The sequence below is a fragment of the Homo sapiens genome, chromosome 19, assembly GCF_000001405.40.
Source record: "Homo sapiens chromosome 19, GRCh38.p14 Primary Assembly".
NCBI lineage: Eukaryota > Metazoa > Chordata > Mammalia > Primates > Hominidae > Homo > Homo sapiens.
The window spans coordinates 47005116-47019836 of NC_000019.10; the positions used below are offsets into that span (position 1 = coordinate 47005116).

The following is a 14721-nucleotide window of genomic DNA, read 5'->3' on the forward strand; positions in this document are numbered from 1 at the left end:
CAGTGCAGCACACACCAGGGTTTCACAGGCTTAGGCGCCCGGGGGGGGAAGCAGGAGGCTCCCACAGGAGAGGCCTCGGCCAGCACGAGCCCCCCCTCCCGGCTCTCACCTGCTTTCCTCTCCAGCACAGCTTCCCAGAAGGCCGCGTCATTCCTGTGGTTTCTCAGCATCACCTAAAGTGCCTCCCACAAACCCCCATGGCCGCAGGAGCTGCAGGCAGGCGTGGGGAGGGGATGCCAGAGGTGCCGCTCCTGACCTTCCTTCCCACTCCCCTCCGGCCTGAGGCCACGCGGGTGGTACCGGGAGTCAGATGCCCCTGTTCACTTCCTGGGTGAGTTCCAGGGGCAGGGTCATGAGCAGGCTTGTGGCCAGGAGGTGGCCGACCTCAGACCCTTCTCAAGGGAGGGGTCAGGGCTGAAGTTCTGAGAGGGGAGAGCCTAAGGTCACACTCACTCCCTGGTGCTGGCCCTGGGGTCAGAGACCCAGGCTCTATGCCAGAGTTAGCCACCGTCACCACCGTCATCCAGGACAGCACCTCCAGGGACGGAGGTGGGCTGCTTCCCAAAGAAGCCTTGCCACCAAAAACACCTCCTCTCTGCTCACCCCCTAAAAAACTCTCGTTAGGAATATCTTCCTCTTTCCAGTCTCCCAGGCTCAAGTTTGCTCTATCCTTGGCCCCCTCCTTACTTACCCCTGACTGCTTCTAAGATCCCAAATGTCACTTGAGCGTGACTCTGCTGTTCCCTCTGCCTCCATTCTAGCCTAGACCTGAATTCAAGCTCACTAGACTCTGATAGACACCCCCACACACTGAATGGCCCCCCTGCCCTCAATATTCATGGCAGAAGAGTGAACTATTCAGCATACAAGATGCATCCTTCCCTGCCTGTGCCCATAGCAGACATGGCTAGCTGATCACCGCACTCTGCCACACCCCTCTCCAGGCAGCCACTGCCAATCAATAGGGGCTGGCACCAGAGATGACGTCTGTTTGCCACTGCCTCAGCCAGGCAGGCAAACAAACGGAGATGCCTACTGACCATAGCCCAGGCTCCTTGGCATCCATGCAGAACCCCACGCTCTGTCTGGATCCATCCTGCTCTTCTCTCCCACTCCTCTAACCCAACTCCCCAACATCAGTCAAAATTAGTCTTTTTTTTTTTTTTTTTTTTTTTTTTTTTTTTTGACAGAGTTTTGCTCTTGTTGCCCAGGCTGGAGTGCAGTGGCTCGATCTAGGCTCACTACAACCTCCGCCTCCCCGGTTCAAGGGATTTTCCTGCCTCAGCCTCCTGAGTAGCTGGGATTACAGGCATGCACCACCACACCTGGCTAATTTTATATTTTTAGTAGAGACGGGATTTCTCCATGTTGGCCAGGCTGGTCTCGAACTCCTGGCCTCAGGTGATCCGCCCACCTCAGCCTCCCAAAGTGCTGGGATTAGAGGCGTGAGCCACCTCGCCTGGCCGAGTCTCATTCTTTTGAGTGCAGCTGGCTGCTTTCTGCTTCCAGATCCTTGCTTTGAGCACTTCCCTCTGCCTGAAATTCCTTCCATCCACCCTTCCCCAAACCTCTAGCCTGCCCATCAGATCCTACCCTGTTCTTCAAAGCCAGTCTTTCTCCAGAAACATCCCTGACCCTCTCCACTCACGGATTCACCCTGCAGCTGGGATTTACCTGCTGGGGGTTTATGTCACTCCCCGTGAGCGCTCCAGGGTTTCTCCTTTGTTTTTTTGAATTAAATCTCTACATCCTCCTGGTGTGCAGTTGGTACTCAATGTGTGCTGACAGAAACCTGTCTTCTCTATTTTTTTTTTTCCTTTTCTTAGTCTGTTGTCCAGGCTGGAATGCAGTGGCACAAACACGGCTCACTTCAGCCTTGAACTCGCAGGCTGAAGCAATCCTCCCACCTCAGCCTCCAAGTAGCTGGGACTACAGAGGCACATGCTACCACATCTGGCTTTTTTTTTTTTTTTTTTTTTTTTTTCAGAGATGGGATCTCGCTCTATTGCTCAAGCTGGTCTTGAGCTCCTGGGTTCAAGCGATCCTCCTGCCTCGACCTCCCAAAGCACTGGGATGACAGGCATGAGCCACCATGCCCGGCCTGTTCCTCCCTTCTTTGGGCAAAGGCTGAGCCATCTGGGGGCCCCGCTCTGTGCTAAGCTGGGTTGAGGGAGAGACCAGAACCAGATAGGCAGTGGGCTCTGGGTGCTGACTGGCCAAGGAGTGTCTTTTTTTTTTTTTTAGACGGAGTCTCCCTCTGTTGCCCAGGCTGGAGTGTGATGGCGCGATCTCGGATCACTGCAACCTCTGCCTCCTGGATTCAAGTGATTCTCCTGCCTCAGCCTCCCGAGTAGCTGGGATTACAGGTGCCGCCACCATGCCCAGCTAATTTTTGTATTTTTAGTAGAGATGGGGTTTCACCATGTTAGCCAGGATGGTCTTGATCTCTTGACCTCGTGATCCACCCGCCTCGGCCTCCCAAAACGCTGGGATTACAGGATTACAGGCATGAGCCTCCATGCCCGGACTTTTTTTTTTTTTTTTTTTTTTTTTTTTTTGAGACAAAGTCCTGCTCTGTCGCCCAGGCTGGAGTGCAGTGGTGTGATCTCAGCTTACTGCAGCCTCCACCTCCCGGGTTCAAGCAATCCTTCCACCTCAGCCTCCCAAAGCACTGGGAGGGCAGGCGTGAGCCCCTGTGCTCAGCCTTCTCTCGCTCTTGCTCTTCAAGACTTGTGTGCTTTCTAAACACGAGCCTCACAACCACCAGCACCCACGTTGAGAGCTTTGGGGGGCAGCTTCGCGGCTCCCAGATAGGCCACCCCAGGAGGCCCAACAAGATGCCTTATGCGTGGTAAGCCTTCATTCGGTTTTTCGAACGCGGTGGTCTCAACCTTGCCCTTGACCTGCCCCATCTGTAAACCACCCTCTCCCACGTGACTCCAGCCTAGACCTCCGCTGCAAGCAAAACATCATATCCACCTGTCTATGACACTCTACTTGGGGACTCCACTGTGACACACCCACAGCCAAACTCCTGACCCTTTCTCCAAACAGGTCCATTCCCCAGGATCCCCCCCTCAAGCCAGAGAGAGACCCTGGGGGCCCCCTTGGGGTGTCTCTCTCCCTTCCAGTCAACCAGGTACAACTCCCAGTTCCATTTTGCCTTCCAGCACACTCCCCTTCCTGCTCCCTGCACCCCAGCCCTGTCTGATCTCACCAAGACATCTGCCCTCCATGCTCACCCACTCCCATCTCCATGAGGGCAGATCAGATCTCACATCTAGCCATGTGTCTCCTCCCGTAACATCCTCCAGGGATCTCCAATGCCCTTAGAGGAAGCCTGAACTCTTCCACAGGGTCCCACCCCCGACCCCGCCCACCTCCCAGGAGCCTTTCCTTGCACTCTGGTCCAGATACTCCAACTCCCCTGGGGCCTGCCCACCTCGGGCATTTTGCAGTATTGTCCCCTCCTCCTCCAAGACTGTCCTCCCTTGAGGCCATCCCACCTTGCTAACTTTCTCCTGGTCCTTCAGATTTCAGCTCCTCAGACTCCTCCACAGGGAAAGCCCTCCCTGACTCCCCCAGCCAAGATGGGTCTCTTTGCTTTCAGATGAGATCGAGTGGGTTCAGGGTGTATGGCCGTAGACTCTCCGTGCTTTCAAAGGAAAAAAATAAGTTCTTTCAGAGTACTTTCTGAGCTGAGCATGGTGGCTCATACTTGTCATCATAGTGCTGTGGGAGGCCAAGAGAGGAGGATCACCTGAGCCCAGGAATTCAAGAACAGCCTGTTCAACAAAGTTAGACCTTGTCTCTACAAAACATTTCTTTTTTTAATTAGCAGCTTGGGGCCAGGTGCAGTGGATCACGCCTGTAATCCCAGGACTTTGAGAGGCCGAGGCGGGCAGATCACCTGAGATCGGGAGTTCAAGACACAGCCTGAGCAACATGAAGAAACCCCGTCTCTACTAAAAATACAAAATTAGGAGCTCTCCCTCTCCGTCTCCCTCTCCCTCTCCCCACGGTCTCCCTCTCCCTCTCTTTCCACGGTCTCCCTCTGATGCCGAGCCGAAGCTGGACAGTACTGCTGCCATCTCAGCTCACTGCAACCTCCCTGCCTGATTCTCCTGACTCAGCCTGCGGAGTGCCTGCGATTGCAGGCTCGCGCCGCCACGCCTGACTGGTTTTGGTGGAGACGGGGTTTCGCTGTGTTGGCCGGGCCGGTCTCCAGCCCCTAACCGCAAGTGATCCGCCAGCCTCGGCCTCCCAAGGTGCCGGGATTGCAGACGGAGTCTCATTCACTCAGTGCTCAATGGTGCCCAGGCTGGAGTGCAGTGGCGTGATCTCGGCTCGCTACAGCCTCCACCTCCCAGCCGCCTGCCTTGGCCTCCCAAAGTGCCGAGATTGCAGCCTCTGCCCGGCTGCCACCCCGTCTGGGAAGTGAGGAGCGTCTCTGCCTGGCCGCCCATCGTCTGGGATGTGAGGAGCCCCTCTGCCTGGCTGCCCAGTCTGGAAAGTGAGGAGCGTCTCCGCCCGGCCGCCATCCCACCTAGGAAGTGAGGAGCACCTCTTCCCGGCCGCCATCACATCTAGGAAGTGAGGAGCGTCTCTGCCCGGCCGCCCATCGTCTGAGATGTGGGGAGCGCCTCTGCCCCGCCGCCCCGTCTGGGATGTGAGGAGCACCTCTGCCCGGCTGCGACCCGGTCTGGGAGGTGAGGAGCATCTCTGCCCGGCCGCCCCGTCTGAGAAGTGAGGAGCCCCTCCGCCCGGCAGCCGCCCCGTCTGAGAAGTGAGGAGCCTCTCCGCCCGACAGCCACCCAGTCTGGGAAGTGAGGAGCGTCTCCGCCCGGCAGCCACCCCGTCCGGGAGGGAGGTGGGGGGGTCAGCACCCCGCCCGGCCAGCCGCCCCGTCCGGGAGGTGAGGGGCGCCTCTGCCCGGCCGCCCCTACTGGGAAGTGAGGAGCCCCTCTGCCCGGCCACCACCCTGTCTGGGAGGTGTGCCCAACAGCTCATTGAGAACGGGCCAGGATGACAATGGCGGTTTTGTGGAATAGAAAGGCGGGAAAGGTGGGGAAAAGATTGAGAAATCGGATGGTTGCCGTGTCTGTGTAGAAAGAAGTAGACATGGGAGACTTTTCATTTTGTTTTGTACTAAGAAAACTTCTTCTGCTGTGGGATCCTGTTGATCTGTGACCTTACCCCCAACCCTGTGCTCTCTGAAACATCTGCTGTGTCCACTCAGGGTTAAATGGATTAAGGGCGGTGCAAGATGTGCTTTGTTAAACAGATGCTTGAAGGCAGCATGCTCGTTAAGAGTCATCACCACTCCCTAATCTCAAGTACCCAGGGACACAAACACTGCGGAAGGCCGCAGGGTCCTCTGCCTAGGAAAACCAGAGACCTTTGTTCACTTGTTTATCTGCTGACCTTCCCTCCACTATTGTCCTATGACCCTGCCAAATCCCCCTCTGTGAGAAACACCCGAGAATTATCAATAAAAAATAAATAAATTAAAAAAAAAAAATACAAAATTAGCCAGGCGTGGTGGCGCATGCCTGTAATCCCAGCTACTCGGGAGGCTGAGGTGGGAGGATCACTTGAACTCAGGAAGTTCAAGGTTGCAGTGAGCCAAGATCGTACCACTGCACTCCAGCCTGGGCAACAGAGCCAGACCCTGTCTAAAAAAAAGAAAGAAAAAAAAAGTACTTTTCTCGGTGTGTTATTCATTCAGGCTGGGGCACACAGACATTAAACAAATCCCTGCCCGGAGCTGACATCCTAGTGGAAGGAACACAGTAAACAAATGAATGTGGCCATTATTTAGGCAGGACCGAGGAGTTAACGAGGATTCAGTTGTTGGGAGCACTTGCCTCAGTTGCAAAACTTAACAGAACACGAAAGAGACTTCAGTCATCAACATAAAAATATTTCAGCACAATGTTTTCAAAAAGCAAAGTTGCTGTTAGCCTAATACTGCTCTAAAAAAAAAATGTCAGCCACGCGTGGTGGCTCATGCCTGTAATCCCAGCACTTTGGGAAGCCTAGGCAGGCGGATCACAAGGTCAAGAGATCAAGACCATCCTGGCCAACATGGTGAAACCCCGTCTGTACTAAAAATACAAAAATTAGCTGGGCGTAGTGGTGTGCGCCTGTAGTCCCAGCTACTCGGGAGGCTGAGGCAGGAGAATTACTTGAACCCGGGAGGTGGAGGTTGCAGTGAGCTGAGATCACGCCACTGCACTCCAGCCTGGGTGACAGAGCAAGACTCCATCTCAAAAAAAAAAACAATACAAAACAAACCAAAAAAATTGTTTGTCTTGGTTGGGTGCACTGGCTCATGCCTGTAATCCCAGCACTTTGGAGTTCAAGATGGGAGGATCACTTGAGCCCAGCAGTCTGAGACCAGCCTGGGCAATAGAGTGAGACTCCGACTCTACAAAAAAATTCTTTAAAAATTAGCTGAGCAGGCCAGGCGAGGTGGCTTACACCTGTAATCCAAGCATTTCTGGGAGGCTGAGGCGGGTGGATCACCTGAGTTCAGGAGTTCGAGAGCAGCCTGGCCAACATGGCAAAACCCCGTCTCGATTTAAAATAGAAAAATTAGCTGGGTGTGGTGGCGCATGCCTGTAGTTCCAGCTACTCAGGCAGCTGAGGCAGGAGAATCGCTTGAACCTGAGAGGTGGAGGGTGCAGTGAGCCGAGATCATGCCACTACACTCCAGCCTGGGCGACAGAGCAAGACTCCATCTCAAAAAAAAAAAAAAAGCCAGGCGCGGCAGCTCACACCTGTAATCCCAGAACTTTGGGAGGCCGAGGCAGGCGTATCACCTGAGGTCAGTTCAAGACCAGCCTGACCAACATGGTGAAACCCTGTCTCTACTAAAAATACAAAATTAGCCAGGCATGGTGGTACATGCCTGTAATCCCAGCTACTCGGGAAGCTGAGAGAGAAGAATCGCTTGAACCCAGGAGGCAGAGGTTGCAGTGAGCCAAGATTGTACCATTGCACTCCAGCCTCAGCAACAAGAGGGAAACTCCCTCTCGAAGAAAAAAAAAAAATTAGCTGGGCATGGCAGCACATGCCTGTAGTCCCAGCTACTCAGGAGGTCGACGTGGGAAGATCGCAGGAGGTTGAGGCTGCATTAAGACAAGATTCTGCCACTGCACTCCAGCATGGGTGACAGAGTGAGACCCCATCTCAAAATAAATAAATAAAAGTCTTTTGGGCCAGGCGTGGTGGCTTATGCCTACAATCCTAGCATTTTGGGAGGCCGAGGTGAGTGGATCGCCTGAGGTCAGGAGTTCCACAGCAGCCTGACCAACATGGAGAAACCCCGTCTCTACTAAAAATACAAAATTAGCCGGGTGTGGTGGCGCATGCCTGTAATCCCAGCTACTCGGGAGACTGGGGCAGGAGAATGGCTTGAACCCAGGAGGCGGAGGTTGTCGTGAGCCGAGATGGCACCATTGCACTCCAGCCTGGACAACAAGAGCGAAACTCCATCTCAAAAAAAGAGACTTGTTTAAAAAATCAAAATTAGTGCAAAAAAACCAAATCCATGATGAACAAACTATCAATATTTTAAATAAAGACGAATCAGTAAGAGTGTCAAGTGAGTCACATTGGAGCCTGAGGCTAAAGGAGAAATCAGTTAAGACTGAGCCTGGATTCTGGGAGTCCAGCAAGGAGGTAACTACGATAGTCCAGGAGTGAAACGGTGGCGGATTAGACCAGAGAAGGACGGTGATAGTGGAAAGAACAGGGAATTCCAGGTATCTTGAAGGTCAAGGCTACAGAATTTGTTGAAGATGGCATGAGACTGGGGCAGAGAGAAGGTGCAGATGACGCCAGGGTTGCCGCATACGACAGTGTGAGTATCTGATTATCCTTTGTCTTCCCCACTTTCCTGTGAAACCTACGAGGGCGGGAGCTGTGCCTCCCAAGCCGCAGCCAGCACCCAGCATTCGCTCCAGGGCTCCAGGCCAACTGCCCTGGTGGAGAATGAGCTGTGTTACTCCGCGCGGCCACCAGGGGTCAGCAGAGCGCCGCCCTGCCCAGCCATGGCCATCCCGGGAAGAGTAGAAAGCCCGGATGGCGGCTTTTTAGGAAGTAAGGCCGGATTAGAAGGAGAAGCAGCAGGGACTGAGGAGGAGGCGGGTTCTGAGAAATGGGGCTGGAAGCGAAGTGTCCCAGGAGCTGGCCGAGAAGCAGGGGAATGAGCTACTGTTTCTGTCACTGCATCCATCCACCCATTTATTCCACCATTCAGTCACAGGCCACTCAGGGCCTTGCAGAGCCGGGTGAGAAACTCAGTGTGTCCTGAGGGCACTGGGGAGACAAGACTGGGTCCGATTTGCAGGAGCTGAGAGGAGGGGAAGAAAGTAGAGATTCAGGACATGCAAGCTCACAGCCAACCTGCCTCCCAGGTGGGCCTGAAGAGCATGCAATTAACATAAATGTTAGCAAAACAAATAATATTGGCCGGGCACGGAGGCTCACACCTGTAATCCTAGTGCTTTGGGAGGCTGAGGTGGGAGGATTGCTCGAGGCCAGGAGTTCGAGTCTGCAGTGAGCGACGATTGTGCTACGCACTCCAGTCTGGGAGACAGAGCAAGACCCCATCTCTACAAAACATACAAAAAGTTAATCAGGAGTGGTGGCGCATACCTGTGGTCCCAGCTACTTAGGAGGCTGACATGGGAGGATCACCTGAGTCCGGGAGGTAGAGGCTGCAGTGAGCCGTAATCACATCACTGCACTCCAGCCTCGGTGAAAGAGTGAGACCCTGCATAAAAAAAAAAAAATACAAGTAATATTAAATTAATAAAAGCTAACAATCATTGGACCCTTACGAGATAGCAGGCCTTGTTTTAATCGCTTTTCACCATCAATTTTCTTTTTCTTTTTCTTTTTCTTTTTCTTTTTTTTTTCTGAGACTGAGTCTTGCTCTGTCACCCAGGGTGGAGTGCAGTGGTATGATTTTGGCTCACTGCAACCTCTGCCTCCCGGGTTCAAGCGATCCTCCAGCCTCAGCCTCCTGAGATCTGGGATTACAGGCGCCCGCCACCATGCCTGGCTAATTTCTGTAATTTTTTTAGTAGAGACAGGTTTCACCATGTTGACTAGGCTGGTCTTGAACTCCTGACCTCAAGTGATCCACCCGCCTCAGCCTCCCAAAGTGCTGGGATTACAGGCGTGAGCCACTGCACCAGGCTTGTGTTTTGTTTTTGAGACAGGGTGTTGCTCTGTCTCCCAGGGCTGGAGTTCAGTGGCACAATCACAGCTCACTGCAGCCTCAATCTCCTGGGATCAAGGGACCCTCCTGCCTCAGCCTCCTGAGTAGCTGGGACTACAGGGGTGCACCACCACACTCAGCTAATTTTTGTATTTTTTTGTAGAGAGGGTTTCACCATGCTGCCCAGGCTGGTCTCGATCTCCTGGGCTCAAGTAATCCTCCCTCCTTGGCCTCCAAAGTGTTCGGACTACAGGCATGCACCACCTCACCCCTCACCCAGCCCTTTTCTTCTTTTTTTTTTTTTTTTTTTTTTTTGAGATGGAGTCTTGCTCTGTTGCCCAGGCTGGAGTGCAGTGGCCTAATCTCAGCTCACTGCAAGCTCTGCCTCCCAGGTTCACGCCATTCTCCTGCCTCAGCCTCCCGAGTAGCTGGGACTACAGGCACATGCCCGGCTAATTTTTTTGTATTTTAAGTAGAGACGGGGTTTCACCGTGTTAGCCAGGATGGTCTCGATCTCCTGACCTCATGATCCGCCTGCCTCAGCCTCCCAAAGTGCTGGGATTACAAGCATGAGCCACCACACCCAACCTTCTTTTTTTTTTTTTTTTTGAGACAAGAGTCTGGCTCTGTTGCCCAGGCTGGAGTGCAGTGGCGCGATCTCGGCTCACTGCAACCTCTGTCTCTGGGGTTCAAGCGATTCTTCTGCCTCAGCCTCCCAAGTAGCTGGGATTACAAATGTGTGGCACCATGTCCAGCTAATTTTTGTATTTTTAGTAGAGATGGGGTTTTGCCATGTTGGCCAGGCTGGTTTTTTGTTTTTTTGTTTTGTTTTGTTTTGTTTTGTTTGAGACGGAGTTTTGCTCTTGTTGCCCCAGACTGGAGTGCAATGGCACCATCTCAGCTCAGGCTCACCGCAACCTCCGCTCCTGGGTTCAAGCAATTCTCCTGCCTCAGCCTCCCAAGTACCTGGGATTACAGGCATGAGCCACCACACCTGGTTAATTTTGTATTTTTAGTAGAGATGGGGTTTCTCCATGTTGGTCAGGCTGGTCTCGAACTCCCGACCTCAGGTGATCTGCCCGCCTCGGCCTCCCAAAGTGCTGGAATTACAGGTGTGAGCCACCATACCTGGCCGATAAATATTTGTTGAATGAATTCATTGAATGCTGACAGCAACTCCACGAGGAATGCCTTGGGGCTTGTTTTCCTATTATTTATCTGTGAATAAGCACTCTATTGAGATTGTTCCCACGCCATACATTTTACACGTTTAAAGTTGTGTTTAGCAGAGTTAGGGGTTTTTTAGTGTATTCACAGACGCGCAACCATCACCACAGTCCATTTTAGAACATTTTCATCACCCAAAAAGCAAGCATGCAGCCATTAGCAGTCACTCTCCATTCCCCGGTATTAGTTTGCTGGGACTGCCAAAACCAAGGACCGCAAACTGGGCGGCTTGAAACAACAGAAGTGTCTTCTCTCGCAGTTGCCAGAGGCTGGAAGTCCGAGATCAATCAGGGTGTCGGCAGGGCTGGTTGCTTTTTTTTTTTTTTTTTTTTTTAATTTGAGATGGAGTCTCACTCTGCTGCCCAGGCTGGAGTGCAGTGATTTAATCTCGGCTCACTACAACCTCCACCTCCCAGGTTCAAGCAATTCTCCTGCCTCAGCCTCCTGAGTAGCTGAGATTACAGGTGTGAGCCACCACGCCTGGCTAATTTTTGTATTTTTAGGAGAGACAGTGTTTCCCAGTATTGGCGAGGCTGGTCTTGAATTCTTGACCTCAAGTGATCCGCCCACCTTGGCCTCCCAAGCTGCTGGGATTACAGGCTTGAGCCACCGTGCCCAGCCTCTTTCTGAGGCTGTGAAAGAGAATCAGTCAGTCTGTAATCCTAGCACTTTGGGAGGCTGAGGCAGACAGATCATGAGGTCAGGAGTTTGAGACCAGCCTGACTAACATGGTGAAAACCCGTCTCTACTAAAAATACAAAAATTAGCCGGGCATGGTGGTGCATGCCTGTAATCTCAACTGCTCGAGAGGCTGAGGCAGGAGAATCACTTGAACCCTGGAGGCAGAGGTTGCAGTGAGCCGAGATCGTGCCACTGCGCTCCAGCCTAGGCAACAGAGTAAGACTCTGTCTCGAAAAATTAAATTAAATTAAATTAAATTAAAATTAAAATAATAATTATAAGCCCATTACAGGCCAACATAAATATTTTATGAAAAATATATTTTCCAATTAAAAAAAAAGTTAGTGAAGGGAGTGGCATTCTTTTACATTTTTGCAAATCTCTTTAACGTCCAGCTTTTATAGAAGATGGCTGGACCTTGGGCTGGGCACTGTGCTTACGCCTGTGATCCCAGCACTTTGGGAGGCTGAGGTGGGAAGACTGCTTGAGGCCAAGAGTTCAAGACAAGCCTGGGCAACATAGCAAGACCTCAAAAAAAAAAGAAAGAAAAAGAAAGAAAGAAAAGAAAAGAAAAGGAAAGAGAGAGAGAAAGAAAGAAAGAAAGAAAGAAAGAAAGAAAGAAAGAAAGAAAGAAAGAAAGAAAGAGAAAGAAAAAGAAAGAAAGAAAGAAGGGAAGGAAGGAAGGAATAACAGTAAGAAGAAGATGGCTGGGCCTCACGGCTGCTTCTGCATTTGGTCTGTTGTGATATCACACATCACACAGCATCTGGAAATCTCCACCAGACAACAGAATGAAGTGAAAAAGGCAGAAAATGTCTCGGTATGAAAATTTGACCCAGCACACCGAAGAGACCAGTTCTCAGGTCACATTGAGACCTTCTAAAATAAACTTATTTTATCTTCACTATGATGCTATGAGGTGGGTACTAGAATTAAAATATCCTCATTCTACAAGGGAGAAAACGAAGGCCCAGAGAGGTGAAGTTACTTGCCCAGAGTCATACAGCAGTAAATGGCAGAGCTGAGGTTTCAACACCACCAATTACTCTTAACCTCACAAAATCCATGTGTAGGCCAGGCATGGTGGCTCACGCCTGTAATCCCAGCACTTTGGGAGGCTGAGGCGGGCAGGTCACAATGAGGTCAGGAGTTTGAGACCAGCCTGACCAACATGGTGAAACCCCATCTCTACTAAAAATACAAAAATTAGCCAGGCGTAGTGGTGCGCACCTGTAATCCCACCTACTCAGGAGACTGAGGCAGGAGAATCGCTTGAACCTGGGAAGTGGAGGTTGCAGTGAGCCGAGATCCTGCCACTGCACTCCAGCCTGGGTGAGAAAGCGAGACTCCATCTCAAAAAAAAAAAAAAAATCCGTGTGTATGTGCAATCATAAATAAATACAGGCCAGGCTGGGCGACCTGGCTCACGCCATAATCCCAGCACATTGGGAGGCTGAGGCAGGAGGATTGCTTGAAGCCAGGAGTTCAAGACCAGCCTGGGCAACATAGCAAGACCCTCTCTCTACAAAACTTTTTTTTTTTTTTTGAGACGGAGTCTCGCTCTGTCTGCCAGGCTGGAGTATAGTGGCGTGATCTCAGCTCACTGCAACCTCCGCCTCCCAGGTTCAAGCGATTCTCCAGCCTCAGCCTCCTGAGTAGCTGGGACTACAGGTGCACGCCACTGTGTCCAGCTAATTTTTGTATTTTTAGTAGAGATGGGGTTTCACCATGTTGGCCAGGCTGGTCTTGAACTCCTGACGTCAGGTGATCCACCCGCCTCAGCCTCCCAAAGTGCTGGGATTACAGGCATGAGCCACTGCGCCCGGCCAACAAAACATTTTTAAAAAATAGCTGGGTGGGGTGGTGCATACCTGTAGTCCCAGCCACTTAGGAGGCTAGGTGGGAGAATCTCTTGAGCCTGGGAGTTCAAGGCTGCAGTGAGTAGTGATCATGCAGCCTGGGTGACAGAGCGAGAAGACTGTGTCTCAAAAATAATTAATTAATTAATTAATGGCACAAGTGTACCTCTCATGGCTGGCATAGCACCTGCCCAGGCTGCACAGCCAGGAAGTGCTGTCAGGAGACAGGAGCCCATGATCTGAGCTTGATTCCTTGCCCTGAAACTCTAGCAAGTCTCTCTGGGGATAAATAAGGATCTGTTGTCTGAGAGGCCACTATCACCAGGCTATATCACTTCCCCATGTCTCGGTTTCCCTAGTTGTAAAATGCATCTAGTAACAGAGCCCATCTCAGAATCTTGCTATAAAATAAAGTATTAGCAAAAAACAAGCACTCCCTTAAGTGTTAACTATGAGGATCATGAATGAGTTTGTGTGTTGTGAGCAAATGCACACGGGTGTTTGTGTGTGCCTCAGTTTCCCCATCTGCCCAACCAAAGGCCAGCGCGTGCTCCCTGCAAGCCCCTGACTGTATGCCTCTTCTAAGACTCCCTGCTCCATTTTCTTTTTCTTTTCTTTTCTTTCGAAATGGACTCTCCTTCTCTGACCCGGGCTGGAGCGCAGTGGCGGGATCTCGGCTCACTGCAACCTCCGCCTCCCAGGTTCAAGGGATTTTCCTGCCTCAGCCTCCCGAGTAGCTGGGATTACAGGCGCCCACCACCACACCCGGCTAATTTTTGTATTTTTAGTAGAGACAGGGTTTCACTATGTTGGCCAGGCTGGCCTTGAACTCCTGACCTCGGGTGATCCAACCGCCCTGGCCTCCCAAGGTGCTGGGATTATAGGTGTAAGCCACCGCGCCCGGCCCCAGCTCCATTTTCTTTCCCCATGTTAAGGTCATGTAGAGGCTTTTAAGTGCCTGGAGACCCCCATGCCAGGGAGGACCCTGAGAACGGGAAGTGGGGGCTGCATGGAGAGAAGGAGCTAGGGGAACTGTAGGACCTCCTATCAGACTGGGGAAGGCCTGGCTTGGACGCCTGGGTTCCCGTCCTCTGTGCGAGGTACTACAACCCCTGAGTTCCCATTTATGATCTAATGGGGAGCTTGGATGTAAGGGTTCCCGTCCCTGCGGCGGGGGATGGAGATAAGACGCCAGGATCCTGGTCTCTGGAGCTCCTTAGAGAGCTGGATCCTGGTCCCTGACGAGGGAGGTGTATGTCCCCCTTTTAAGGCGGGTTGGGTTTGGATGCGAAGTCCCAGCCCTGTGGGGGGAGAGTGTGCTGACACTCAGGAGTTCTCTCCCGGAAAGGGAGGGTCTCGAATTCTGGATTTGTGTCCCTGGAGGAAGCACTGACGTGAGTCTTCACTCGTACATGGGGCTCGGCTGCAGGGTACCTGTCTTGTCCCGAGGGGCTGCTGGGGCACTAACTGCCTCCTGAAGGGGTGTAGACAGTGCCCGGACTCCGCTGTTCCCCTTTTGGAGTGGGGTAGCTCCGATCCGAGGTGCTACATTCTGACCCCCGACGTTACCGTGGGGCAAGGGAACTCGGACCCCAGGGTAGCTTGGCCCCCTACCAGGGAAAGGCGAGCAGGGCGGGTCCGGGGGCGGAGACGCGGCGGGCGGGGCTCCGGCAGACCCCGCCCCCGCCCGCAGCGCTGGTCGCGCGTCTCCAAGTCTGCGAG

The 14721-nt window shown here is 52.4% G+C and overlaps 3 annotated features.

The window, feature by feature from the left end:
• Window positions 312–890: an enhancer, noted in NCBI's record as "H3K4me1 hESC enhancer chr19:47508684-47509262 (GRCh37/hg19 assembly coordinates)". NCBI's record gives its function as "activates a minimal SCP1, AML or CMV promoter by ChIP-STARR-seq in naive H9 embryonic stem cells {active_cell/tissue: H9 hESC(naive)}" and the evidence as "EXISTENCE:reporter gene assay evidence [ECO:0000049][PMID:30033119]".
• Window positions 6286–6499: a silencer, noted in NCBI's record as "fragment chr19:47514658-47514871 (GRCh37/hg19 assembly coordinates)". NCBI's record gives its function as "represses an EF-1alpha promoter that drives an FKBP-Casp9 reporter gene in an ReSE screen in K562 erythroleukemia cells {active_cell/tissue: K562}" and the evidence as "EXISTENCE:reporter gene assay evidence [ECO:0000049][PMID:32094911]".
• Window positions 14659–14718: a silencer, noted in NCBI's record as "silent region_10835". NCBI's record gives its function as "represses an Ori minimal core promoter by ATAC-STARR-seq in GM12878 lymphoblastoid cells {active_cell/tissue: GM12878}" and the evidence as "EXISTENCE:reporter gene assay evidence [ECO:0000049][PMID:35858748]".